At 54.1% G+C, this 27,366-nt stretch overlaps 1 protein-coding gene across 7 annotated transcripts, besides 5 other annotated features; it reads left to right on the forward strand.

The window, feature by feature from the left end:
- Nucleotides 326-1,266: an enhancer, noted in NCBI's record as "NANOG-H3K4me1 hESC enhancer chr5:149565453-149566393 (GRCh37/hg19 assembly coordinates)". NCBI's record gives its function as "activates a minimal SCP1, AML or CMV promoter by ChIP-STARR-seq in naive H9 embryonic stem cells {active_cell/tissue: H9 hESC(naive)}" and the evidence as "EXISTENCE:reporter gene assay evidence [ECO:0000049][PMID:30033119]".
- SLC6A7 (solute carrier family 6 member 7) lies at nucleotides 4,498-25,499 on the forward strand. Of its 7 annotated transcripts, XM_017009767.2 has the most exons (15): nucleotides 4,498-4,796; nucleotides 9,164-9,347; nucleotides 11,152-11,283; nucleotides 11,478-11,712; nucleotides 13,379-13,489; nucleotides 13,664-13,802; nucleotides 15,525-15,659; nucleotides 16,783-16,886; nucleotides 17,015-17,139; nucleotides 18,103-18,215; nucleotides 18,343-18,474; nucleotides 18,968-19,067; nucleotides 19,263-19,363; nucleotides 19,892-20,059; nucleotides 23,842-25,499. In XM_017009767.2, exons 1-15 carry the CDS (start codon nucleotides 4,521-4,523, stop codon nucleotides 24,049-24,051), a joined length of 2,265 nt encoding a protein of 754 aa, XP_016865256.1. In that variant the 5' UTR covers nucleotides 4,498-4,520; the 3' UTR covers nucleotides 24,052-25,499. The 7 variants fall into 7 exon arrangements, with proteins under 7 accessions (XP_016865256.1, NP_055043.2, XP_047273542.1 ...); NM_014228.5 differs by lacking the exon at nucleotides 13,379-13,489; XM_017009769.3 differs by lacking the exon at nucleotides 4,498-4,796 and having other exon boundaries at nucleotides 9,168-10,973.
- Nucleotides 20,277-20,903: an enhancer, noted in NCBI's record as "H3K4me1 hESC enhancer chr5:149585404-149586030 (GRCh37/hg19 assembly coordinates)". NCBI's record gives its function as "activates a minimal SCP1, AML or CMV promoter by ChIP-STARR-seq in naive H9 embryonic stem cells {active_cell/tissue: H9 hESC(naive)}" and the evidence as "EXISTENCE:reporter gene assay evidence [ECO:0000049][PMID:30033119]".
- Nucleotides 22,858-24,057: an enhancer, noted in NCBI's record as "P300/CBP strongly-dependent group 1 enhancer chr5:149587985-149589184 (GRCh37/hg19 assembly coordinates)". NCBI's record gives its function as "activates an origin of replication core promoter dependent on BRD2, BRD4, P300/CBP, MED14 and CDK7 cofactors, with strong dependence on P300/CBP, by STARR-seq in HCT116 cells {active_cell/tissue: HCT116}" and the evidence as "EXISTENCE:reporter gene assay evidence [ECO:0000049][PMID:35650434]".
- Nucleotides 24,032-24,575: an enhancer, noted in NCBI's record as "H3K4me1 hESC enhancer chr5:149589159-149589702 (GRCh37/hg19 assembly coordinates)". NCBI's record gives its function as "activates a minimal SCP1, AML or CMV promoter by ChIP-STARR-seq in primed H9 embryonic stem cells {active_cell/tissue: H9 hESC(primed)}" and the evidence as "EXISTENCE:reporter gene assay evidence [ECO:0000049][PMID:30033119]".
- Nucleotides 25,416-25,987: an enhancer, noted in NCBI's record as "H3K27ac-H3K4me1 hESC enhancer chr5:149590543-149591114 (GRCh37/hg19 assembly coordinates)". NCBI's record gives its function as "activates a minimal SCP1, AML or CMV promoter by ChIP-STARR-seq in primed H9 embryonic stem cells {active_cell/tissue: H9 hESC(primed)}" and the evidence as "EXISTENCE:reporter gene assay evidence [ECO:0000049][PMID:30033119]".

Here is a 27,366-nt window from a genome sequence, read left to right on the forward strand (position 1 = left end):
GGTGGACACCTGAGGCTTGGGAAAGAACCAGGGTTCCAAGAGTAGAGGGGGAGGGGCTGGTGAAAAGGCGGCTGGCCCGGACTGAATAGAGTTTTCTGATCTTCAAAAAAATATGCTCTGTGACCCTAGGGTAACTGCTTCCCCTCTTTGGGCCCGCATTGCCCCATCTGTAAACTTGGGGAAGTTGTCTACCAGAAAGAAATAACTCTGGTCAAGTAAGTTTGGGAAATCCTGCTGAAGCCACTTCTCTGATAGAGTCACAGTGGGCCATTAGCACATCAAAGTCTCTGACAAGCCCCACAGCAAAGAAACCCCTTGAATTTTCTTTCATCTGGCCTTCCCCGTGCTTTGCTACCTAGGAGGCCCCTACTCACACCTCCGAGCATCCCACTGAACTCCACACACTCTGCAGTGCTGGGATGTTCAGGCTGGAGGGCCTCACCTTCTCTGTGTCTCAGTATTTAGCAGCAGGTTTTGTCGTCAAATGGCCTGGATTTCAGCGTGACTACTTCCAAACTGCAAGACTTCAGGCAAGTTACTTAGCTTCTTGGAGCCTCGGCCTCCGCATGTGTCAAATGGAAATAAAATAGTCTAACTGAGCTTAGAATTGTGTTTCGCTCAGGGCCCAGCACATAAGAAGTGCCTGTTTTTGAGCCACCTGCTCACGGGGCTGCTGCTGCATCCCAGTGTGAGAGGCTGGCAGGCGTGGCTGATGTTCTACCCACCTGAAGGAGGACAAGCCTGTCTCCGCATTAGGAAGACCTCTGCCCGGCAGGAGGTCAGTGGCCACTCCTCTGATAGAGTCACAGCGGCGCATTACCACATCAAAGGGTGAGCTGCAGCAGTTGCCCACATGGGAGGTCAGGAGGTTGGATGCGACCCACAGGTTGGGTTGGTGCTCACCTACCAATGGGTGTTTAGCCCCATGAAAAAGGAAACTCATCTAAGACAACTTCCAAGCAGTGCAACTTCCTGCCTTGTGCCTGGTGAGTTCCCTGTCACCCAGAGTTCCACCAGAGATTGGGGTGTTGTAATGGCTTAGGAAAGAGACCCTTCAAGTCTAGTCAAATCTTACAGCCACCCCAGGGGTAAGAGGTGTTCAGCTCTCGTATCAGGAATGGCCCATGCTGCTTTGCGTACAGTGACTTTGTGCTGGCCCTCCAAGGCCCACAGACTGCTTACGTCTTCTAGCAAATCAGAATTGTGCATGTCAACACTGTTTACATACAATTTCAGGGAGTCCATAGACTCCTAACCCTGGGCTGAGAACCTGTCTTATGGAAAAGCCAATCCCATCATTGATTGCCGAGAGATTGGTGTGGACCGAGCAGAACAGTTGCAGCACTACTCTAGGGAGGGACTTGGTGGGGAATGGAGTGTTCTGAGGAGGGCTCCAGCAGTCAAGGGTGTGTGTGTGTGTGTGTGTGTGTGTCTGTGTGTGTGTAATGGGCTGTGATAGGGGTACAAGGGTTAGAACAGGAGGACTGTGGAGCTCTGAGGAAATCAGCCCGGCTCTGAGTGTTTGAGATGATCTGCCAGAGGGATGCAGAGCTGGGGAGCACAGCCAGCCTCCGCCAGGGCAGCTTTGGAGGGCAATCCCGTTCCAACCAGGCAGCTCTGGGATCACTTCCTCTGAACCACTCCAGATGGACTAGCAGCCTGGAACCTTGTTTTTTACAGTCGTCACTCCCTAGTGTGACAAAACACATGCTCTACAGTGATAAAATCTGAATATTTAAGCAAATTAAAAATGTTTATTTATATACATTTAAAAATATCTCCCTATATAATAAAAGGAAGTACAGTTCATCTGACACTTTCCTTAAATCACACACACACATCTCCATTGCACTTCTGGTTTGATATGAGACCACAACAGGGAGAGAAGGGGGAAAGGGAGAGTGAATATTTACCATTTGGATTCCTAAGCAGTCATTTTGCCATGAATCAAACCCCCTCTGGAATGGGGGAGAGGAGATGGTGGTGACAGCAATTGTCAAATGTGCTTGGTTGCCAGACTCCTGGCCAGTTGTATGATCATAAAATTGGAGCTTCAGTGGGTAGATTGATTTATGTGGATAATGTCTTTTAGAAAATCTTGGAGTTTTGGCTGGGCACAGTGGCTCATGCCTGTAATCCCAGCACTTTGGGAGGCAGAGGCAGAAAGATCCCTTGATCTCAAGAGTTCAAGATCAGCCTGGGTAATATAGCAAGACCCTGTCTCTACAAAAAAATACAAAAATTAGCCAGTCATGGTGGCACACACCTGTAGTCCCAGTTGCTTGGGAGGCTGAGGTGGGAGGGTAGCTTGAGTTCAGGAAGCGAAGGTTGTGGTGAGCCGAGATGGAGCCACTGCACATCAACCTGGGTAATAGAGCAAGATCTCTCTCAAAAAAATAAAGAAAAGAAAATCTTTGAGTTTTGTTTGTTTTATGAAAGGGCAGACTTTCCCCACCAGGGCTGTGGGGATGGAGGTGATGGTGGCAGAGAGGTATGAGCTAGAGGGCAGAGCCTGGGTGAGGTCAGACTCCTAGGTTATAGACATGATCCTGTCTTTACTGAATCACTGAGTGATTTTGCAAATCCTGCCCCTCTGGGTCTCAGTTTCCCTATCTGAAAGGCATGGGCCTAGATCCATTTGCACCTCACAGTCCCAGTGACTGCCACAGTGGCTCAGTGGTCACCCCCTGATGTGTCTGCTCAAGGGAAGCTAAAGCCCTGGTCCACTCCCTTCTTCTCCCCCAGGGCTGGGTCCGTGAAGTGGGAGGAGCAGGTGCTGCTAGGAAGGGTCATAAAGAGGCCAGTCTTCTTGGCTCCTGAGCCAACTGCCTCATCCCTGCTCGCTGTCCCTGTGGCCCTCTGTGCCTTCCAAAGGGTCTCATGAAACCCAAGTGCCAATGGGAGGGAGTGGTTGAGCAAGGTTGAGCCTCTTTTGTACAAGATGCATTGACAAGCCTTGGGTGAGGGATGGGGAAGTTTCCTGCCTGGGCCTCCTTGGATTCAGGAGCCCTTGGCTTCTGCCTTTCCCAGCCATGACCCACAGCTTTCCTGGCTTCATCCCCAACGCCCAGTGCATGACTTCACTCCTCTGGGACAGTTTCCACAGGTGTAAAATGAGATGCACAAACATGTCTTCCCAGACAGTTGGAAAGAATTAAAAATTAGATGTTGGATGCAAAAATCCTTCATAATGCACACAGTAGGGCTCCATAAATGCTCCTTCTCTTCACACTCACAGCCACTCTTGGCCCCATATGGGTCAGCAGGCAGGGGGCAGAGGAGACACCTTCCTCCTGGGTCTGGAGAGCCCCTGGTTTGCCCTTTGTGGCCAGGCTCAAAGGGGAGAGAAGTTTGACAGGACCTGGGCAGGGGAAGGGGTGGACTGGAGCCTGGCCAGGCCTTTACCCAAGTCCATGCTTTGACTTAAACCCCTCCAACCTTTTTTCAAGCTCCAGAGGTGGGAGAGAGCAGAACCTTATTCTCATCTCTCCCCAAAGGCCTCCCACCGTGTCAACTGATAGTGAGCCAAACAGATGTATGGTTAATGTCTAAACTGGGACACTTGCGAGGGTGAAAAGGACACAATTTGTAATGTATATACTGATCCGCTAGTGTCTATCAGTCAGTCCCAGCAAACCAACGTGTGCCATTGCTCCAGCTCATCATTTCCCATCCTAGCCACAGGCTCACTGGACCCTCAGAACATTCTGAGGCAACAATGCATGGGCGGCTCGTGGCCCATTTTACAGATATGAAATTAGAACTTTCCAGAAGCCATACTGCTGCTGGACAGGAAACCAGTTACTAATCATCTAAGTCACAGATCACAGTGACACTGTGGCACTTGCCTGTCCCTTCTGCTCACCCAAACCTCCCCATTTTGCTTTCATCTTAAGGAAAGGAGGAGAGTTGAAGACTCTACTAGCCTAAAGGTCCATGAAGCCTGACTCTGTCCCTGGTGTCACTCATTAGCCCCGTGACTTTGAGTAAGTAACTTAACTTCCCTGTCCCTCAGCTTCCTCATCTGTAGAATAGGAGTAACGACACCTGTCTCTCCAGGTTGAGAAAATAGGACACCTAGTTCAGGACCTGGCACATTTTAGGTGCTCAATAAATACTGATAGATTGAATAATTGGACTAATGGTGGCGTGGGCAACCCACAGTCAGTGAATAAATGTTAACTGAGCACCTACTATGTGTCAGGCTCTTTGTGCTAGATGTTTTCTATGCTCCATCTTCCTGAATTGCTCACACTCCTGTAAGAGAGGAGAGATTCTTATCCCCTAAGGTCGCACAGCAAAGACGACGCAGGGGGGTGGGCTGTTAGTGTTCCTTGCCCAACTGTGGAAAGGGAGTCCCAGAGAGGGCAGGTCGCTTGCCCAAGGTCACGCAGAAAGCCGAGGGTTTCCGTCGCGAACCCCCCTCCCCACTCGCTCAGGGCTCTCCAATCCGCAGCTCTGCGTGCGGGGGCGCGCGCATCCCCCCGCCGTCCGTCCGTCAGCTGTCTGTCTGGGTGTCTATGCGGGCGCAGCAGTGCACCCTTCCCCAGCCTCGGGCGCTGCGCAGGGACAGACAAGGCATTCGCAGCGCCCTGCCCGCGCTCCACGCCCGCAGCCGCCAGACGGCAGCGCCTGCGTCCGTGCCCGCCCCAGCCGGTGCGCGGGAGCCGCGGGGGCAAAGGCGCAGTGGCCAGCGGACCATCTCTCGTGCCCTCGCTCTCTGCGCTCCGGGGCAGCTGAGCCCCGGCCACCCGCTCTCCAAGATGAAGAAGCTCCAGGGAGCTCACCTCCGCAAGGTAGGGCACGAGGGCGGGGGCGCTGGGGGTGCACCTGGAGGAGGGTTGGAGAGACCCGCCCCCAACGAGGCCCCTGGGGAAGGTCTGAGGATGCACCCAGACCAGCTTCGGGCTCTGGGGAAGGCCCGACTCAGCTGGATAACAGGGAGGGTCAGGGTCACGGTCTGCGCCCCCACCTCTGCCCCTGCCATCTGGGGTTCGGGATGTAGTATGAGGGGAGTCCTGGTTCACTGGGCCAGGCCTATGAACAGGTGTCTGCAGTCCCCGGAGGCGCGGGGTAGGGGCGGCCGGGGCCAGGCACCCACCTCTTCCCCAATTCCACCCTGCTGCTCCCCGCCAGGAGCTGATTGCCGGGTGTGGGGGGTATTGGAATACCTGAGCGTTGAGCTGGACTCATCTGAGGGGTGGGGAGTGGGAGGCGGTCATCCATACTGAAGCCGGCTCCCTGAGCCTGCGGGAAGACTCTCCTCTTTCCTGCCTGCTCCCTCCCCGCCCCCTTAGCTTGCCTGCTGAGACCCCAGGCTGCCCCTCAGCAGGGCTGAAGGGAGGCAAAGACAGGGAGGGGGCTATCGGAGGCAGGAGGATATGATCAATGAAGATGGAAGCTGGTATGGGAGAGTGGCTGTGGGCCCAGACCTCAGGCTCTCCCTACCTTGCCTTGTGGGATTGGACCTCTCAGCCAAGCTGTCAGGATATGGGGAGGGGGAATACTGGGGGACGTTTTCTGGCTTGTACCAGTCCTAACTAAGGAGTCAGATCTCCTGAATACTATTTCTGCCGCTGCCACTTGCCTGGTGACTTTGGACAAGTTCATTCTCTAACCTGAACCTCCTCTGGCTAAGCCCTAGCCTGGAGGCACCAAAACAGGCCCCACTGGGTGTGTGAGGTGTGGGGAAGAATGCTAAAGGGCTGGTAGATGTGAGAAGACTGTTCTCAGGGGCTGGTGTTATCAACCTCCCTACATACACACACATTCACACTCACACTCACTCACACACACACTCATTCATTCAAGTTCTCTGCTCTGGGGCAGCTGGGCTTGGAACCACTGTGGTGTGTCTTTTTTCTTTTTCTTGTTTTTTTTTTTTGAGACGGAGTCTCGCTCTGTCACCCAGGTTGGAGTGCAGTGGTGTGATCTCGGCTCACTGCAAGCTCTGCCTCCCGGGTTCACGCCATTCTCCTGCCTCAGCCTCCCGAGTAGCTGGGACTATAGGCGCCCGCCACCACGCCTGGCTAATGTTTTGTATTTTTAGTAGAGACGGGGTTTCACCGTGTTAGCCAGGATGGTCTTGATCTTCTGACCTCGTGATCCGCCCGCCTCGGCCTCCCAAAGTGCTGGGATTACAGGTGTGAGTCACTGCGCCCAGCTGGTATGTCTTTTTTATTCACTGACATGAGTGACTTCTTGAGACCATTTGTGAGTCTCTTGGGTCCTGTTTCCATTCTTTTCCACTCTCCTTCTCTTCCCTCTCTGCCCTCCCTCCCCACAAGAGGCCCTGTCCCTCTTGCTGGGTGCTGGGCTGGGGGGTTAGCAAGCTTTATCTCATTTAATCCTTTAACACTTCCAGGGGCTAGGTCTTAGTAGCCCCACTTTATAAATAAGGCAACTGAGGCACAGAGGGGTGAGACTCACTGCTTACCTGCTGGCAGGCTAGGCAACCTAGAGCCAACAGGGCAGAGGGTTGGTTCTAGGTTGCTACCTCCTCTCAGGGTCCTTTCCCTTTTCTCAAGCAGAATTGGGCGGGAATGAGAAAATGCCAGATTTCCGCAAAGGAGCAGCATTGCTCAGAGATGAACACTGGACTTAGAGTCAGGGGATCTAGGTCCAAGTCTTGCTGTGCCTTTAACTTGCTGTTTGACCTTGGGCTCATCCCTTCTTCCTGAAACTTGGTTTCCTAATCTGCACAATGATGAAGCTGGACCCCAGATTCCTATTGTCTCTCTCTGTCCTGAAGAGTCTTGGCTTGGGCAGTCTTGAGTCTCCCAGCCCCTGCTGTGAGTCCCTAAAGGCGAGCATGCAGGTCTGACAAACTCAGCTGTGTGTTCCTGCATGCCCCTGGGGTAGGGAGTGGGAGATTCAGGAGTGGGAGGCTTACACCCAGGAAGAAGTATGAAGCAACTCATTCAGCTTCCAGCCCTGCCCCAGCTATTTGATTGCTTTCTTCCATCTCCCAACCAGCCCCATCCTCACTGTGCCAGCCTCCTGGGATTCACCCCATGGTGGGGTTGGGAACTCCAGTTGGGCTCCTGATTGGCTCAGCTTTGGAGGACCCTATCTCCTGCCCCTGGAGCAGAAGCAGGCTTCCCTCTGATTGGGGGAGGAGGGGGACGAGCTGGCAGCATCCTGCTCTTGGAACTCTAGTCACCATGGAAACAGAGAACCGGGACCGCTCCATGAGCATGGAAAGGGCAGCTTCTCTGGAGGGATCAGAGGATCCTCATTACTGGGACCTCCTGCTAACTGGCCTGAATGGTGCTGGGATGGGCGGGGGGTGTCTCAGGGTAACAGGCCTGCTCACCACCCAACACCAGGAACAGTGGCAACCATTCCTCCCGGAGCTCACCTGGGGTGAGAGGTTGCTGAAGGCTGATGCTCACCCAGCTGGAGAGGCAGCCTCAGGGAACGGGGCATTGGAGGGGAAGGGTGGGTTTCACTTAAGTCTGGGATCTGCTGCTCCTGTCACCTCAGCATGTCCATGATCACAGCTAAAGAACTTCCAGGCATGTATTTGTTTCACCCCTTGCAGCCTAGTTACTTTAAAAACAGCTCTTCATGCTCTGTCATTGTCATCGTCACCCATAATAATGTCTGGCTGTTCCTGTCACCACGGCCCCTGTGGCCAATAGCCAGTTTCTGGCAAAATCACCACTGTGGTCACCATCACTGAGGGTCTCCTAAGGGAGAATGCCCCATGGACCTCTCACCCACTTTGAAGCATGAAAGGAGACCTTAGGAACAGCTGGCCTCCGCTCCCCTCTGGGCATGCATCTCCTCTCCAGGGACAGCAAGATTATGACTTTCTGACACAGATCACGGCTTAAGTACCTTCTTCCTGCTCATGAGCCAAAATTCACAAAATTCACCCAGCCCTCAGGCTCTCCCTACCTTGCCTGGTGGGGTTTGACCCCCCCAGCCAAGCTGTCAGCATGCGGGGAGGGGGAGTATTGGGGAAGTTTTCTGGCTTGTGACTGAAAAGTACCAGTCCTAACCAAGGAGTCAGATCTCCTTGGTTCTTAGTAGGCCCCATTTGAGCCACGGAGCATCAGTGGATTCCCTCCCTCAGGGGAACCCCCAGGTCCCTCCAAGTCCTCTCCTTTCTATGCTGAGGGCTCCCAGCTTCTTTCTGTTGTCCTCCTATCACCTCTTTTCCTGAACACCCTCCAGCCTGGCCACCTGCCCTTTGGACATGCTCCATATTGTCTGCATCTTTCTTAAAATATGGTGCCCGGAACGGAGGAACAAAACTCCAGCACTGGTGGGTGAAGGAGACCTGGCTTTCGCATCAGGAAGCCTTGGGCTCCAGACCTAGTTCTTCCACTCACCAACCTGGTAGAAACCTCGGGTATGTCATGACACCTCTTTGAGCCTCAGTTTTCCTCATGACGAAAATGGAGCTTAGATGAATACTGAGCTCAAAAAGTTGTTCTGAGAATGAAATCAGGTAATGTGAGTGAGATGTCTAGTGCAGTGGGCACATAGTAAGTGCTCAATATACAGTAACTTACTAAGATCATCATCATGCTCTTCATCTTCGTCATCCTCATCCTCATCAAAATAGGACCATCCAGCCGGCCACGGTGGCTCATGCCTGTAATCCCAGCACTTTGGGAGGCCGAGGCGGGTGGATCACGAGGTCAGGAGACCAAGACCATCCTGGCTAACACGGTGAAACCCTGTCTCTACTAAAAATACAAAACATTAGCCGGGCGTGGTGGTGGGCGCCTGTAGTCCCAGCTACTCGGGAGGCTGAGACGGGAGAATTGCTTGAACCCGGGAGGTGGAGGTTGCGGTGTGCTGAGGTTGTACCACTGCACTCCAGGCTGGGCAACAGAGGGAGACTCTTTCTCAATTAAAAAAAAAAAAAAAAAGGACTATCCCTTGATTTGGCATCTGTGTTAGCCAGACTAAGGTCAGGGTAGCTTTGTTAGTGCCTAAGCTACCCTGCTGGCCCAGTAAGTTTTGGTCGCCTAAAATCCTGAGGCTCTCCTGCATATGACAAGGTTAGTCCAGTTGAGAGCACTTGATTATCTGGACTGAGAATGTCTTTTCATTTAGCCCTGTTCAATTCCAGAGTCTTGTCTTGAGGTCACATTTCTGGCCTGGCCTCAGTCTTCTCCCCAACCTCTTTGGTCTCTCTCATTGGCAGCCTGTCACCCCAGACCTGCTGATGACCCCCAGTGACCAGGGCGATGTCGACCTGGATGTGGACTTTGCTGCACACCGGGGGAACTGGACAGGCAAGCTGGACTTCCTGCTGTCCTGCATTGGCTACTGTGTAGGCCTGGGGAATGTCTGGCGCTTCCCCTATCGAGCGTACACCAATGGAGGAGGTATGGGCCTGAGGTCCTGTCGGAGGGTGTCTGGGGTGATGGGCCAAGGCCCTGGGGTACAGTGAGCTTTTAGGTGGCCTCAGCCACTGTCTCCTAGGCGACCTTGGGCAGAACTCATTGAAAGTGGTTTATAGTAACTTGGGGCTGGGAGGAAGGAGTTTACCCTGTCTTGTCCTTCTCATCACCCAAGCCCTTCCTTCCTCCCTCTCATCCCCAGGAAGGATACCCACATGGTTCCCTCTCTAAGGCTGGCCACCCCACGCCCTGCACGGTGGGCAGAGGGAGCTGCCTCTGCTTCGTGATAAGGAGCTGTATCTGCCTGCCGATGATCACTGCACTTTCAGTGTTCTCCCCACCCCCTCCTTCCTCCACCTCCTCCTGAGCTGTGCTCCATCAATCATTCCCTCTCTTGAGTCTCCAATCTTTCCTCCTCTCTTGGTTCCTTCCATTCAGGCTGCAAACACAAAGTCTCTCCCATCTTAAACAAATTTCCTTTCATCCCTGCTTCTCCATCAAGTGACGGTTCCAAGTCTCATTAGCAAAAGCTGGGGCTGAGCGCCTACCACCTGTCAGGCCCTGGGCTTGGTGCTTGCTGTGCCCATCTCATTTAACCCTGGTGATGACCCTATTGGGTAGGCACCATGGATACGATGAGGTAGCTGAAACTTGAAGACACCAGCGTCCTTGCCCAAGGTCACAGGGTGGCAGACCCAACATTCCAACCCAGGACTATCTCCTCCCTAGCCAGTGTGCTCTCACCAGTACTCGTATCTCCTTCTGTCTCTAGCAAACTCTGAAGGAAGCATATATTGAGAAAGTGAGAGAAATCCAAATAAAGCTAGATGAAGCAAAGAAAGGATAAATTTACATGACTAGGATGTGTGGGACTGGAGCTGGCCTCTGAAGCTCTAGGACCTTGATGACACCCATGGTGTCTCTCGGCAAGCACTCTCCCCATGTCCCTACTCTTCCTCTCTGTGTGCTGACCTCATTTTGTCCTGAGACAGGCTTCCTCCCCGCAGTTGGTGGGGGACAGGCCTTGGGGGGAGGTGGCCACAGACAACTCTGCAATGACTTCATCCTCCAATGGGTTTAGCAACCCAAGAGCTTTGCAGAACTGCTCTGTCTGAATGAATCTATACAGAATTGCAGGGAAGGCCTCTGATAGGCCTGGCTTTGGATAGGTGCCCACGGGGGAAGGAGGAGAGGGCGGTGAACCCCCTCCTTCCAGCCCCAGGTTATGATAAAACACTTCCAACTAATTCTGCCCAAGGTCGCCTAGGAGGGGGTTGGTTGATGTGACTGGCAGCCCTTCCAGAGTCATATGGTGGTGGGCAGTTCTCTAAAGAAGTGACTGCCAATGTGAGAACCAAAGGGGAAGGGCTATTGGGCCCACGGAACCACAGGTGGCAGTCACAAGTGTCTGAGGCGGCATGGTGGGGAGGGGCAGGCAGATAGAGGGGAGCCGGATTCTGAAGGGTGCTGGTTTCTGTACTGAGGAGTCTGCACTTTCTTCAGCAGGAAATTCACACATTCTCTCCCTCATTCATTCATTCACTCCCTCAGCAGGCGTTTCTCAGCGTCTGCGCTGAGCCCAGCACTGTTCTGGGCACTGGGGCTCCAGAGGTGAGTAAATCCCTGCTGGCCACTCTGGCCCTCAGCAGTCTGGTATAGAAGAAAAGAAACCTACAGTGTTCCATCAGGTCTGAGGGGGCATCTGCAGGCCAGGGGAGGGGCGGGGCTAGAGCTGGGCTTTTGGGGGAGCTGCCCCCAAGGCCCTTGCTGACCACCCCGCTCCCGGCAGGCGCCTTCCTCGTGCCCTACTTCCTCATGCTGGCCATCTGTGGCATCCCCCTCTTCTTCCTGGAGCTCTCCCTGGGCCAGTTCTCCAGCCTAGGGCCCCTGGCTGTCTGGAAAATCAGCCCTCTCTTCAAAGGTGAGGCCTCAGTGGTCCCCAGGGAGGGAAGGGCTCAGGGTCTGGGGGAGGCAGGGAGGTTGCCCCCAGAACCCCTGCCAGCTCCAGGCAGAGGTGGAAGTGAAGCCCAGATAGCTGCCAGCTCCCCAGAAGCCACTCCACCCGGCTGGCAGAGAGCTTGGCCTGGGCAGCCCAGCAGCCTCTCCCCACACCAGGCGCCGGCGCAGCCATGCTGCTCATCGTGGGCTTGGTGGCCATCTACTACAACATGATCATCGCCTACGTGCTCTTCTACCTCTTCGCCTCCCTCACCAGCGACCTACCCTGGGAGCACTGTGGCAACTGGTGGAACACAGAACTCTGCCTGGAGCACAGAGTCTCCAAGGACGGCAACGGGGCCCTGCCCCTCAACCTCACCTGCACCGTCAGCCCCAGCGAGGAGTACTGGAGGTCAGGCAGCTGCTGGCCCCGCGGCATCTGAGGGGACCCTGCACTGCTGAGGGTGGCCAGAGGGCATCCCCCACAGTCTCAGCATGTACCGCCAAGATGAGCTCAGGTGGTGATGGCAGGTGGACTCTGGCTTCTAATCCCAGCTCTTCACCTGACCAGCTGTGTGGCCTCAAACAATTTATTTGGCTTCTGTTGCTTTATCTGTAGCATGAGGGCAATAATACTAGGTATCTCAGAAAGGTTGTTGTGAAGATTAAAGGAGAGAAAGCATATATTAATAAATTGTGCAGTCCAGTCTGGTGGATAGTAAGTGCTCAATAAATACTAGCTGAGAATGATGATGATGATGATAACAGTAATAGTAACATTATGGAGTCTCAGTTTCCTCCTCTGTAACAGGGGTTGGTAACAGTACCTGCTTCATAAGGTGTTATCCAGTTAGTCATTTACCCACTCATTCATTCTTTTAATAAATATTTATTGAGCAACTGCTATATCATAGGTAAAGCACTTAGCATAAGGCCAGGACGTACATAGTAAGGACCATCTCAGACTCCTCTAATAGAGATAGGACTATAATAGAGTAAGGGACTGTCATCAGAATTAAACAACATAATGCAGGTGAAACCATTATCACGGTGCTGGGCACACAGTGGGTCCTGGGAATGGTGGGTGTCGGAAGGACGTTGCACTCATCAGCCTATCCCAATGCCCCATTTTATGGTCAATAAAACAAAGCCTTGTCACTGCATTCTGCCTTTAAAAGAAGAAAGAGAAAGAAAGAAAGAAAGAAAGAAAGAAAGAAAGAAAGAAAGAAAGAAAGAAAGAAAGAAAGAAAGAGAAAGAAAGAAAGAAAGAAAGAAAGCAAAGCCCAGAGGCTTGCTCAGTATTGCTCAGTAATTAGTGACAGAGATGGTATTGACACTAAGGACTCCTGAGTCCTGATCCTGTTCTGGAACATTCTAAAATAGCCTGGTCCCTAGGTGGGACTGTTGGCTGGCCAGAGAACACAGACCCTATAACCCCCATCCCTTACCTATAAAGGACTGCTGTTAGGAGATTTCTCCCAGATAGGCTCCGTGTCTTGAAATGTTTTGGTCTTTAACCTGCCTGTAGTACATAGTTCATTCATTTGTCCACTTCAAGTCCATCTGAAGTGTCCGCACCTGCTGAAGAGTTTATCTGACCAGTGGGAAAGAATCAGCCTGAGTTTGCAGCTTAAAGCCAAAGGATTTGATACAATCACTGGCAGCTGCCAGGGTGGTTCTCCATGGCCATGCCACAGCCCACTGCATCAGTCAGGATGCAGGCAGGAGGCCGATGGATTGTCAGAGGGTTTCACTGAAGGGAGTTTAGTGAAGGGACTTTTCAGAGGGTCATGGAAGCCACAGCAAAAAGTGAAGCATCAGTGACTAGCAACAGGGACAGCTATCACCACCCCTGAACCTAGGAGGCAATGGGAGGGAACCAGGAGAGAATCAGAGCCTTGGAAGAGGGGCTACCTAAAGAACACAGTCATGGCCAGGCCCTGGATGGTGTGTGTGTGTGTGTGTGTGTGTGTGTGTGTGTGTGTGTGTGTGTGTGTGTGGTGTACACATGTATATGCAAATACCCAGACCCCTCATTCCTCCCCTCACTACAGTCTCCCACTGTTGCCTCCCATTAGCCAAACCCACACGGAAGCTGAAGAGGAAGGAAGAAGAGGAAGGGTGGTCTCGAACTCCTATCCTCAAGTGATCTTCCTTCCTCAGCCTCCCAAAGCTGAGGAAGGGGTAAGGTCTGGTGAGGCCAGCCTCCTGGGTCAGAGTTGGTCGGAGAAGGATGGAGAGGGATCAAGAGGGCGTCAAGTGGAGAACAGCAGTAGAGCCTTGTGGGCTGGACATGGCTTGACTCCATGTCTGTGGAGCCTGGTGGGGTGACCAGGGGACACTGAGACCTTTGTCTCCCACAGCCGCTACGTCCTCCACATCCAAGGCAGCCAGGGCATCGGCAGCCCTGGGGAGATCCGCTGGAACCTCTGCCTCTGCCTGCTGCTGGCCTGGGTCATCGTGTTCCTCTGTATCCTCAAGGGTGTGAAGTCTTCGGGCAAGGTGAAGCCTGGGAGGCCCCGGAGGCCTGAGGGGCTGGATGGGGTGAAGGCTTCCTGGAGAAGGCAGGGCTTGGACTGAGCATGAGAAGATGAAGAGACTTCAGCTGGGCAGAGGGGAAGGGAGAGAGCCTTGAGACTGGGGGATGAGGGCTGCTTGAAGAGAGACATGGAGGTGAGGACGCACGGGGGCAAGGCTGCTTTACTAGACTGGAAGCTCACCAAGGCAGGGTCTACATTCAGCTGTATCCTGACCCAGTGCTTGGCACTTTGAATGAGCTCAGCAAGAGTTTGTTGAACACTTAGAGTGTGAGTGCATGAGTTAGGGGGCTCTTTGAGATGCAGGTGACCAGAACCCAGTTATCACACTCAGTTGGAAAGTCCAGAGGGTGTGCTTCAGGCACAGCTGGGTCTAGGGGTTCAATCAGTGTCATCAGGAAGCTGGTTCTCTGGGTCTGTCAGTAGTGCTTCCTTCCAGGATGGCTTCCTTCTGAGGCTTCATTCTTCGTGAGGTCACCCTAGCAGCTCTAGGCGTACATCTAAGCTTGGTAAAGGGTTGTCTTTCCCCAGTTTGCAACTATTTTAGAATTGAGTCTCATTGGATGAGCAGGGCTGTGCACCCATCCCTAAATTAATCCCTGTGGCCCGGAGGATGGAATGCTTTTCTTGGCTGGGCGTGGGTCATGTAACCACCCCTGGAGCTGGGAATAGAGTCAGCTCCATGGTGGGAAAGTCAGGTACTGTTATCTGAAAAAGGTAAACTAGAGACTGGAAGACAAAGCCACGGATGTCTACTTTAGGTGATGAAGGGGTGGAAAGGACGATAAAGCCATTTTGAAAAAACTTGGGGCCGGAGGTGGTGGCTCAAGCCTGTAATCCTAGCAGTTTGGGAAGCCGAGGTGGGTGGATCACCTGAGGTCAGGAATTCAAGGCCAGCCTGGCCAACATGGTGAAACCCTGTCTCTACTAAAAATACAAAAATTAGCCGGGCATGATGGCAGGTGCCTGTAATCCCAGCTACTCGGGAGGCTGAGACGGGAGAATCGCTTGAACCTGGGAGACGGTAGTTGCAGTGAGCCAAGATTGTGCCACTGCACTCCAGCCTGGGAGGCTGAGTGAGACTCCGTCTCAAAAAAAAGAAAAAAGAAAAACTCAGAAACCTTCAAGATGGCTTGCCCAATCATTGGTAAATCAGAACTTGTTTCCTCTGCAAGGTGCAGACGATACCAGAAGTATCATTTACAAGGAACAGAGCCATTTAAGACAAAAAAGACAGGGTAGAAACCATATAGAAAGAGAGAAGAGGTTATGGTCAAAGCCAAGGCAGTGAGGACGCTGAGACTTGATGGTGTTTGCTGAAGCGGTGGCTGGAGGTTTGGGAAAAGAAGGAAAGAGGGAGGAGTGAGTTTGGGAATGTTGAATGTCTGAGGATGATGCAGAGTGAGTTTGCAGGGGCAGGGAGTGGACACGGGGAGGAGGAGGCTTTTATAACCAACAATGGCGGCCTGGACCAGGGGCTGCAGTGGACATGGCCTTGGGAAGCAAGGTGGTGGTGCTTTGCTGATGCTGGGTGTGTGAAGGGAGGAGGGAAGCCTCAAGGATGAAGGCCGGTTCCTGGCTTGGGCTACCCAAAGGCTGGGGAGGCAAGTGACACAGATGAGTTTACAAGGAATGGCACTGAGTCAAGGTCCCCGATGCCATCAGCTCCTCACTTATCATCTCTCAGGTGGTGTATTTCACGGCCACGTTCCCCTACCTCATCCTGCTCATGCTGCTGGTCCGCGGAGTCACCCTCCCAGGGGCCTGGAAGGGCATCCAGTTCTATCTCACCCCCCAGTTCCACCACTTGTTGTCTTCCAAGGTGAGCCCCTCAGGGCGGGGTGCAGAGGGAGGGGCCAGGCCTGAGCTGGAGAGTGGAAAGAGGGCTCCCTGGGACACCGCAGTACCAGGCACTCTGCTCAGCCCTTCTTGCGTCTTTTTTATTTATTATTATTGTTATTTTTTTCTATTTTTAAATTGATAGGTAAAATTTTATGTATTTATCATGTACAACATGATGTTTTGAAGCATATGTACCTGGGGGAACTGTTAAATCTAGCTAATTAGCATATGTATTATCTCACATAATTATCATTTTTGTAGTGAGAACACTTAACATCCACTCTCTTAGCATTCTCCAAGAATACGATATATTGTCACTAACTGCATATTATACTTCATTTATTATTATTAACAATCATGGAAACACTATCCTCATTTTACAGAGGAATAAACTGAGGCTCAAAAGGGTTCTTATCAAGCTTACGGTCATACAGCTAGGGGATCGAAGAACAGGGATCCCAGCCCAGATTTGTGTGACTGTAAACCCCAAGGAGGGCATTAGTGACAATGGTGATAACAATGGTACTGACAGCTAATGTTAATATTTATTGACTGGGGACTGTGCCTGACCTTGCCCTAGTGTTTTACATGCATGTGTGTAGTGATTTAACCCACCCTCCTCCCATGAAGTAGGCACTATTCCTATCCCCTCGTTACAGATAGGGATCCTGCGGTCCAGAGGGGTGACCTGGCTTGTTCAGGCTGCACAGCTAGAAAATGGTGAAGCTGGGGTCCAAATCCAGGTGCCAGGATTCCAGAAAGGAAGTAAAGGGGTTATGCAGGCTTACTGCCAATACAAATCTCCTGCACACTTTACATTAGGCTCTGTGTCCTTCAGAACTGGACCAAGCTTAGAGACCATCTTCTAGATCCTGGGTGGGAAACTGAAGCCCGCAGAGGGGAAGGGACTTGCCCATGTCCCACCGTGTAAATGTTGGGGGAGGCTTTGCTCCTGGTCCACGTCACTTGTGAGCCAGGCTCATGACCACGCCATCCCTCGTGACCACGCCATCCCTGGAGCTGTCACACCATCTTCATTCACTGCCTTCCTTCTCTGTCCTTGACCATCCGCACACCCTCCCTTTCCATCCTTCCCGGCACAGGTGTGGATTGAAGCTGCTCTTCAGATCTTCTATTCCCTGGGTGTGGGCTTCGGGGGGCTCCTCACCTTTGCCTCCTACAACACGTTTCACCAGAACATCTATAGGTCAGTGTCCCACAGCCTCCCAGACCCTGGGGTCCAAAGCAGGGAGGAGAGTGGCTGGCCAGGGAGGGCCTCAGAGGCTGAAAGGAAGGCCCACTCACCCTGGCCCGCACCTGGACTTCTTCTGGTAGAGACACTTTCATCGTCACTCTGGGCAACGCCATCACCAGCATCCTGGCTGGCTTTGCCATCTTCTCCGTGCTGGGCTACATGTCTCAGGAGCTGGGCGTGCCTGTGGACCAAGTAGCCAAAGCAGGTGGGCAGGCTGCCAGGCCTCAGTGGGGTGAGCATGTGTGTTGGGTAGAGATGGGGCTGGGCCAGTGGACCAGCAAGATTATGGATGGGGGCCAGGCGCGGTGGCTCATGCCTGTGATCCCAGCACTTTGGGAGGCCAAGGTGGGCGGATCGCTTGAGGTCAGGAGTTCGAGACCAGCCTGGTCAACCTGGTGAGTCCCAGTGTCTACTAAAAATACAAAAAGTAGCCGGGCGTGGTGGCACATGCCTGTAATCCCAGTACTCAGGAGGCTGAGGCAGGAGAATCGCTTGAACCCGGGAGGTGGAGGTTGCAATGAGCCAAGATTGGGTCACTGCCCTCTAGCATGGGCAACAGAGCAAGACTCTGCCTCAAAAAAAAAAAAAAAAGATTGTGGATGGGTATGTCATGTGTGTGCATATGCACACATGTACGTGCAAAGGAACATGTCCTAGCTGGTCTCTGGTGGTCCATGTGCAAGGGGATGGGTGAGCAAACGAGTGTGCATTAACCCATGTCTGGAGGCCAATGAGTTTCTGTGCAAGATTGTCACATTTTGTGCTTTGGTTGCACAAATAAGTCATATTGTGTGTGGAGGTGTCTATGTGCAAGTGAAAAGGGTGAGAATGATCTTGTGAATCACTGTGTCTTTTGCCAGTGGATGCATGTAAATGTGTGTGTTAGTGGGGTTATTTGTACCAATAATTGTATACATAAGTATATTTCAATGAGGTTTTATATTGGGGTCTTGTGTTTGTTTATCAACCTATGTTTATCGAGCACCTACAATGTGCTGGTGTAGGTCCTGGGAGTTAAGGAAGTATCAGAGGGTGCATTTAAGTGGGCATCTCTGGGTTAGGCTAAACAAATGGCCCAAATGAGTGTAAGTGGCCGTGTGTGTCTGAGTGTGCGTATGGGAGCCCACCGCATGACCCAAGCTGCTGACCCCGTGTGCCCCTGGCCCAGGCCCTGGCCTGGCCTTTGTCGTCTACCCACAGGCCATGACCATGCTGCCTCTGTCACCCTTCTGGTCCTTTCTCTTCTTCTTCATGCTTCTGACTCTCGGCCTAGATAGCCAGGTGAGTCTCGTCTGTGGCAGCAGGCACCCCGTGTGTGTGTGGTGTGTGTGTGTGTGTGTGTGTGTGTGTGTGTGTGTGTGTGTGTTGGGGATAGAATTCTGACCCCCAGCCCCTCCTCTCTCCTCAGTTTGCTTTTCTGGAGACCATTGTGACAGCTGTGACAGATGAGTTCCCATACTACCTGCGGCCCAAGAAGGCGGTGTTCTCAGGGCTCATCTGCGTGGCCATGTACCTGATGGGGCTGATCCTCACCACTGATGTGAGTGGCGCTACAGGGAGGATGGCAGGTGGGCGGGACAAGGGCAGACGCCTGCAACGAGATCTCTGGCCCAGCTGAGCAGTTGCTGGGCCCCCTCCATCTTCCTCTTTGCAAGGAACCCAGTCCCTCCCCGGCCCTATCTCCCAAGGGAGGCAGTTTGGCCTTGTGATCCAGAGTCCTGGCTGTGGAGATTTAGTCTGCAAGATCTGGGTTCAAACCTGACTCCTGCACTTGCTGAGGGGGCTTCAGGATAAATGATTTCCCCTCCCTGAGATTGTTTTTCCTCATCAGTAAAAGGAGGGTTCTATAATAGACGGCTGTCTTGGGACTCAGATAAGACAAGGCCTAGAAGGGCTGGGCTGGCAGCCAGTGGTCACCCTGTCATCTTGTGCTGTCAGCATGGCTGCTTCCTGCTCACTTCTTGCCAGGAGAAGGGGCTGTAGCAGAGAACGAGGCCCAGGAAGGGGACACCAGAACTGTGCTTGTGTTTTAGGGGGGCATGTACTGGCTGGTCCTTCTGGATGACTACAGCGCCAGCTTCGGGCTGATGGTGGTGGTTATCACCACGTGCCTTGCCGTGACACGGGTGTATGGTGAGAAGAGCCGTGGGAAGTGGAGTCGAGCTCTCCGCAGTGGGAGAATGGGAGTCTACCCTGGGGAGCCCCAGTACCTGGGTCCCTGGTCCCAAGGGCCAGGGTTTCCAGTGGGGGCAGCTGGGGTAGAGGAGGGGCTGCTGGCGTTTGTGGGGCCGGCGGGTGGGGCCATTCCTCCTCCCCTCCCCTGTGCAGGCATTCAGAGGTTCTGCCGAGACATCCACATGATGCTGGGCTTCAAGCCGGGCCTCTACTTCAGGGCCTGCTGGCTGTTCCTGTCCCCAGCCACGCTCTTGGTAACTGGGGAGGGCGGGAGGGTTTCTGGCTGGGGCCCCAGAATTGAAAGCGGGAGTCCCCTCTGCACGTTCAGTCTGGTAGGGCCACCCTGGCCCGCAGTGGAGGGCTGTGGGGTGGCCACCAGAATCCTAGTCCATCCCCTCCCCTGATGTTCCCAGCTTCTGTAGCTGTGCTGGGCCTGGCCCTAGTTCAGTTGGTTAAATGCGTGGGTCTTTCCCAGGCCCCAGGGCCTCAGGATTGGAGCCTTTAGGCTGTGATTTCTGTCTTGGGGTTAGAGCAGCTAAGGGTCTGGGGTGCCTCAGAAATGGCTTGTGCAGGCCTTGGTGTTGGGTCAGCTTCAAGATGGGCTGGCTAAACCCTCAAAGGCTCCAAAGATGGCCCACTTCAGGGTTCGGTACAGCTTAGGATCCTGGGTAGCTCTGGGCTGGACTGTCTCAGGCCTTGGGCTGGCACTAGGCTGGGCTACCTCGGGCCTTAAGCAGTTTAGACAAAAGCCCGCAGTGATGCTGGGAGTCCCCACTCTGCAGGCCCTCATGGTGTATAGCATCGTCAAGTACCAGCCCTCGGAGTATGGCAGTTACCGCTTCCCGCCCTGGGCTGAGCTGCTGGGCATCCTGATGGGCCTGCTGTCCTGCCTCATGATCCCAGCTGGCATGCTGGTGGCTGTGCTTCGAGAAGAGGGCTCACTCTGGGAGGTGAGTCTGCCCACCCTGTCCACTCTCAGCCTTCCTGACCTGTGGCCTGACCCTAGGTCCCCCTGCTAGAACAGAAAACATATGCACCCACCCCTTATCCAGCTTCTTTTAGCCTGAGGAGACTTGCCTGGGCTGAGGCAGATTCAGGGGCTGGAGTCCTGCCCTGTGGCACTTTGTACCACATGAAGCCTTAGGGGAGTGGGTGGCACAATCTAAAGACCACTGTTAACCAGGAACTGGCCCCAGGTCCCACCGTGGGTTGGGGGTGTGTCAGGTCTTGAACTCAGGTCACCAGCCCAGAGCTTGCTTCTGGAACTCAGGGTCAAATGGCGACAGTGAGGGACCCCAGAGGGCAGGCTATCACCCTACTCCCGTGCCCAGGAGTCCTGCTGTGTCCCACTGGTGGCCCGGGATAGAATGATGGTGTGAGCCCTGCCCACGCCTAGGGTTTTGGGGAGGGACTCAGACAAACAGAGAGAGTGCACTCTGCCACAGGGTCTGAGGCCTTGGAAGAGAGGAGTAGTGACCCTTTGTGGGCCAGCAGAAGTGGTGTGGTCTGAGCCTCATTGCACCCTCTGAACACTGAGGCCAGCACTTCTGCCGCCGCTGGTGTGGAGTCCTCCGGTGGCAAGAGACCATCATCATGAATGCAGCTTTAGTGAGCCCGATGGATGGCATCCAGAGAGAGCCTGGAGGCACCCACAACATACACATCCCACCAGAAGTGTGCTGGAGCCAGCTAGCACTGGTTCATCCTTAAATATTCAGGAATGTGTGAGCTAGGTGTTCAACCATTGGTAGCTAGGAATTGGCAATGGTGGAGATATTTACACCACAGAAAATGGCTACAAAGCGGGCCTCCCTTGCACCCCACCCCACAGTCTGCTTACCAGCACACTACTGCCTCTCCTCCACTTCCCCCGTGTAGCTCCTGCCCCTCAGCTCCCCCACCACAAGGCTCCACCTGCAGGGGTTGCTCAGGAGGCAGAAGTGGTTTATGCCTCCCCCATCCTGCTGCCAGACCACAGGGGCACCCTGGAGTCTAGCCTCTGCACTGCCTCCAATTGCTGTGTGACTTGGGGCAAACTCCTTCCCTTCTCTGAACCTCAGGAGCTCCACCTCTGCTCCTTGCTTGAGAGCCAGGGTACCTGCAAAGGGAGGGAAGAGAGGGGAGTTGCTTAGGGGGGAGGCTCCAGCTCCCAGGAAGCTCATGGTCCCCAAGCCTTGCTAATGAGCCACTAGGAGTGCTGGGCTCTCCAGCAGTCACCACCGCCCCGCTGCCCTGCTGCCCTGCTGCCCTGTCCCACAGCCAGGTGGAAGGGGCATGTTTTGGGGGGCTCGAGAGCTGTGGTGAGCACTGCGGAAGAGGCATTCCCCAGCTCAGGAATGCCAGCTTCAGAGGCCAGGGCTTCCAGCACTGACCCTAGGATCAGAATCCTGCCTCTGCCATTTGCCAGCCTCGCGGCCCTAAGCAAGTTACTGCACTTCCCTGAACCTCAGCTTCTCTGTCTTTATTTTTATTTTATTTTATTTATTTTTTTTGTTGAGACAGAGTGTTGCTCTGTCACCCAGGCTGGAGTGCAGTGCAGTGGAGACAGTAAGCATAGTATCCAATAGGCAGGTTTTTTTGTCTTTTTTTGTTTGTGTTTTGAGACAGAGTTTCACTTTGTCACCCAGGCTGGGGTGCAGTGACGCCATCTGGGCTCACTGCAACCTCCGCCTCCCGGGTTCAAGTGATTCTCCTGCCTCAGCCTCCCAAGTAGCTGGGATGACAAGCACCTGCCACCACGTCCAGCTAATTTCTGTATTTTTAGTAGAAACAGGACCAGGCTGGTCTTAAACTCCTGGCCTCAAGTGATCCGCGCACTTCGGCCTCCCAAAGTGCTGGGATTAAGTGTCTTTGTCTTTAAAATGGAGAGAGTGATACCTACTTTTAGGCCTGTTATGAGAAGAAAAGAAGTTTATCAATATAGTCTGCATTGTGAAAGGCAGAAAAGCAAAATATTTTAAAGGTTCAGGATGGAGTCAGGACGGGTTCAAATCCCAACGCCACCACTTCCCACCTGTGTGACCTTGGCCAACTTAACTGATCTCTCTGAGCTTTAATACTCAGATAATATCAGTGCGGGCGGATGGTAAAAGTACTAATACCCCTCTCATTAGGACACTGTAAAGATTAAATTAGCCAATGCTTAGCACAGAGCTGGAGTGCACTGGGTGCTCAATTTTAGGCCAGGGGTTCTCACAGGGGGTGATTTTGCCCTTGGGGGACATTTGGCAATGTCTGGAGACATTGTTGGTTGTCGTGGAGGGGAGAGGGATACAAGGAGGGGTGCTCCTGTCATCTAGTGGGCAGAGTTCAGAGATGCTGCTAAACAACCTTCCATGCGCAGGACAGCCCCCATAACACAGAATCCTCTAGACCGAAATGTCAGGAGCACTCAGGTTAAGAAACTGGTCTGAGCACCCCCGTTTTCAGCTGGAAACAAACCTAAGTCCTTGTTCTCAGGGAGCTTGTATTTTATTGTGGGGGACAGGCAATAAAGAAATATGTAAAGGTAAGTTCTGCACTTAAAAAAAAAAGGAGTACAGGAATAAATGGAGAGTGGTACTTTGGCCAGGATGGTCAGAGAAGACCTCTCTGAGGAGGTGGCACCTGACTAACCGGACAGGGTGATCCATGTAGGTATCTAGGGTAAGAGCATTCCAGGCAGAAAGGCAACACGTGCAAAGGCCCTGAGGCTGGGGGCTGGCATGTTTAAGAACAGCATGGAGGCCAGTGCTGCGGCTGGAGCAGAGGGGGTGGAGAGAACTGGTGGAGCTGATATCAGGGAGGTAGGCAGGGGCCAGGAGCTGGAGGCCCTGGTGCACACTTTGGATTTCATTTCCAGTGAGATGTGCAGCCATTGGCAGGCTTCTGAGCAGTGGGGTAGCATGCGTTCAACACATCTTCCTAAGTATCACTGTGCTGTGAGTACCGAGCTGTGGGAGACCCCGGCTAAAGGCATCACACATGGTATCTCCCTCGGAACCTGCCCAGTGGGCTGCCCAAATGTTAATTGCCTCCTTTCTTTAAGGACACAGGGGCTCCCTCTTCTCCCTGGCATGACAGGCAGAGGGATTTGGGAATGTGGTTGAGGAAGAAGGAACTCTGGAATCTCCAGGCTTAGTCATTATCTTAGTCACCCCGACTCCGTCCATGGAAACTGGGGCTCTACAAGGGAAAGGTCAGAGGCAGAAGGAGGCAGGTCGGGGCTGGAAGAAACCGGGAAAGCCAGCTGCAAGCCCACCGCAGTTCTCCCGGTTCATGGCTCTTTTCCAAAAGCCCCCAGCTCCTTAAGATTCAGCATTTAGGGGAAGGCTCCCGGATTGGCATTCAGACACTCTGAGGAGGGGCCCGCCGCGTAATTATAGCAACAGCCGCCACTTCCCAGGCCTTACCCTGTTCCCAGCACCCTGCTAAGTGCGTCATCTCAGTGCCTTCACAACAACCCTGTGACAGGACTGGGATTCCCGAATTACAGACCAGGAAGCAGAGCACCCAGAGCCGAGCGGCATTGCCAAGAGCCATCCAGCTTGCAAGTGGTAGAACAGGATTCTCACCCAGGCAGGTGGATCCCTCCCCTGGGGAAGTCATAGTGCCCCCCACTTCCCCGCCAGGGGGCTGTGGCCAGGACTCCCCCAGTGATGTGGTCAGGTGTTTGCTGGGTGTCTGGCCACAGTGAACCCTCCACCAGCGCTGCCTGTTTCCTGTTTTCACTGCTCTCGTTGCTTTGCTGCAGCGGCTCCAACAGGCCAGCCGGCCGGCCATGGACTGGGGACCATCGCTGGAGGAGAACCGGACGGGCATGTATGTGGCCACGCTGGCTGGGAGCCAGTCACCAAAGCCACTGATGGTGCACATGCGCAAGTACGGGGGCATCACCAGCTTCGAGAACACGGCCATCGAGGTGGACCGTGAGATTGCAGAGGAGGAGGAGTCGATGATGTGAGGCAGGAGGCAGGCGGGCAGAAGGCCCTGCCCGGGACCTCACAGTCCCTTCTTAGAAGCCTGCAAAGGTCAGCTGTGCCCTCTGGGATTCTGAGAGGCTATGGGGGGGCCTGCCATAGGGATGCCAGTCCCCCAGTGGGGGTCCCTTCTGCAGCCTCTGCCTCTCCTGAAACCTCTGACAACCCCCTACACACACACACAGGCATACTCAGACCCACTCAAAGCTGAGAATGATCCAACTCAGCCCTACTTTGCGGATGGACATATTAAGGCCAGGAGGGGAGGGACTTGCCCCAGGTCGCATGGCAGAGGGGACTTGAACCCACGCCTCCTGACCAGCCAGCTCCCTTTCCCATGGGGCAGCCGGCACCACCTTCTCATCTCTATTCAGGGCCTACACCCCTCCCTTTTTGGGGGGAGCCTGTCCCCACACACCTTAGCACAACCAGAATCTTGAGTTGGGCAGGGAAGGTCAGGGCTACAGAGGCTCTTGAGGCTCCGAGGCCCTGGGGATCAAAGGTCAATGAGTTAGGTGGGGAGAAAGATCCCTGGGGGCTCCTGTATGCAGGACTCCTGAAGGAGGTGGGAGCTGAGGGCCCTGGAGGATGGGGAAGGTTTGCAGAGAGAGGAAGAAGAGGGCAGGGTGGGGAGGAGCTCTGGGCCAGAGGATGCTGAGCTGCCTGGGCAGAGACCAAGAGGGTTGGAGACACTAGTTTTACCAGGTTACAGGAGGGTTCAAGACAGAAGGAAAACTAACAGAGGGGGAGCCAGGGATGATGGGGTGGGCAGGGGATTTGCATGATGAGGAGTATCATTCCAGATCTGTGCAGAGCGGATCGGACGGGACAGGGTGGAGCGGGGAGGCCTGTGCAAAGTGGGAAAGAGCTGCCGGTGGCCTGAGCCAGGGTGCTGGGGCTGCGGGTGGGGAAAGGAGGCCCCAGCACTTCAGACAAAGACCACCCCTTCACCCACTGGACCCCAAGCCGCAAAAGCTGGGGAGGTAGGAAGGGTCACTGTGAGGGCCCAGGGCCCCTCTCTTCCCATCTCCCTTGTCCTGGTGGCCTTCAGTGTCTCTTCCAGTTCCAGGAGCTGCTGGGAAGCTGGCCTTCATTGTTGGTGACAGGGCAACCATGGGACTAGGAGGTGGCCCATACACATGGCTGGCTGGTCCTGAGGCCACCCACCTTGTTCCAGGACATGGGCCCGGGCCCGGTGTGGGGGTAGACGCAGAGGGCAGAGGGTAGCCCTTGGTACTGTGGGTCCCTCAAAGAGGAGAGTGGGGTGCAGAAATGCCTCAGCATGGCTCATGCACACAGCATTCTCCCGTGGGGCAGGGTTCCCTCATGCAACAGGCCTCCCTGTGGCCAGCCTCTCTGCCTGTCTCTCGCTGCGTCCCCCCAACCCCTTGTGTTCTATTGGTTCATTGTTAATAAATATCAAATGAGGTCACGCTCCTTACCCCGTCTCCTTACTGCTGAGAGCCGTGAGGTGGGCAGCACAGGGCTCCCCAGCTCCCACTGGACAGGGGAGGAAACAGGCTCTGCTCCCTCCTTCCCCGGCTCTCCTGGCTTCTGCCCTGGGTCTGACATTTCCCTGTGGCAGTAGGTGGTGGGTGGGGCTCAGAAAGGAAGACAACTCCAGGCCCTTACAGACTACTTAGTTCCCTGTTATACAGACAGACAAACCGAGGCCCACGGAGGGAAAGAGACTTGCTCAAGGTTACCCAGCCAAGCCGGGCAGAGCCTGGGGCAGCAGGGGCCAGCAAAGCGGAGCCCATGAGCCCGCTGCCTCCTTCCCTCTCCCACTCCTCCTCAGCCCTGCCTGCAGGTGAAGGCTGGAGCTGAAGACCAGGGCTAGGAGGAGCCAAGAGTTTCCCAGGCCGGAAGAATCTCTGGGTTCCACCCACCCCCTCCTGGCAGGGCCTTGTCATATAAAAGAGCCCCAGGGCCTTTCAAATGCGAGGCCCAGGTGTTTGCAAAGGCTTTGATTGGGGGTGGAAAGGAAGGGCGGCTGCATATTTCAGATATTAATAAATTCCCCCTAACAAAGGGCCAGGCCCCCCTCCCACTCCTCTTTGTTTGGGGCTCTGGGTGAGGGGAAAGAGATGAATTTGCTAATTTGCAAAGCGTGTGAGAATGGTCTTCAGAATTCAGGTGCTTCTTCCCACGGGGCAGGCTCCAGCCCTGCTGGCAGCGCCCTGGTACTCAGCCTTCTCAGCATGCCCTGTCTGGGGAGGAGGTGCTCTCTGCCTGGACACGGGGCCATGGACTTTCGAATATTCCTCACCAGCCTCTCGGCTGCAGCCAGGTGTCCTGGGAGTCAGGAAAGGAGCATCTTGGGAGTCTAGGCTTCCTTTCTCCTCAGATTCCAAGTGTGAGATTGGAGGGTTGTAGGAGTCCATGGGTCCCACCAGCTTCACTTCCTCCTGCCTCCCCAACCCCTGCCCACTCCTGCCACCGGGCCTGCGGTCCCTGTCCTGCCCTCCCTGGCCCAGTCTTCCAGTTTCTCCTGCTTTTTCCATTTCCTCTACTCTCAGACAGCTTTTCCTGCCGCTCTACCTTCTCCTCCCTCCGTCGCCGGCAACATCTCCCAACTGCTCCGGTCCTGATCCCTGTATTGACTTTAGGTCTCCCTGGCTCAGAACAGCCCCCAGCCTGGCCCTGATTACAGTGGGAACTGACTGGGGAACAGGCAGCTCCAGCTGGGGGAACCCACGACAGCATAGCAGGCAGCTCAGAGAAAACATCAGCCCTGTCTGGAGTAGGATCCCACCCTGCAAACCTCGAATGTCCTACCCGGCAGCAAACTCACATCCTACAGGGCCAGCCAGGAACCTGGGTGAGGAAAGCTGTTGGTATGAGCGGGAGAATATGTGGCAACTGACCCTCCGTGAGTGCTGGAGAGGCAAGAGGGAGTGGTAGGGACTGTGGTGAACTAGAGAAGAAAGCACGCCTATCTTAAGAGGGAGGCCACCTCTCAGAAGTGTGGGCCCAGGCTGCCAGATCTCCGGGCTTTTTAAGGGCAGCTGGAAATCTGGATTTTTATGAGAAATTTCCCAATGTGCAATGTGGATGACTGATTTAAAAGTTGTAAGCATGAGCCCGGGCGGGGTGGCTCACGCTTGTAATCCCAGCACTTTGGGAGGCCAAGGCGGGCAGATCACGAGGTCAGGAGATCGAGACCATCCTGGCTAACACGGTGAAACCCCATCTACTAAAAATACAAAAAATTAGCTGGGCACGGTGGCTCGTGCCTGTAGTCCCAGCTACTCTGGAGGCTGAGGCAGGAGAATCGCTTGAACCCAGGAGGCAGAGGT

This window comes from Homo sapiens, chromosome 5, assembly GCF_000001405.40.
Source record: "Homo sapiens chromosome 5, GRCh38.p14 Primary Assembly".
In the NCBI taxonomy this organism is placed as follows: Eukaryota; Metazoa; Chordata; class Mammalia; order Primates; family Hominidae; genus Homo; species Homo sapiens.

Excerpts from the sequence above, each read along its gene's own strand:
- SLC6A7 (XM_017009767.2), top strand. The coding sequence starts at position 4,521 with ATGCGGGCGCAGCAGTGCACCCTTCCCCAGCCTCGGGCGCTGCGCAGG. Across the intron at positions 11,713-13,378 it reads CCCAGCGAGGAGTACTGGAG|CCAAACCCACACGGAAGCTG; the intron begins GTCAGGCAGCTG and ends GCCTCCCATTAG. Across the intron at positions 13,490-13,663 it reads AAAGCTGAGGAAGGGGTAAG|CCGCTACGTCCTCCACATCC; the intron begins GTCTGGTGAGGC and ends TGTCTCCCACAG.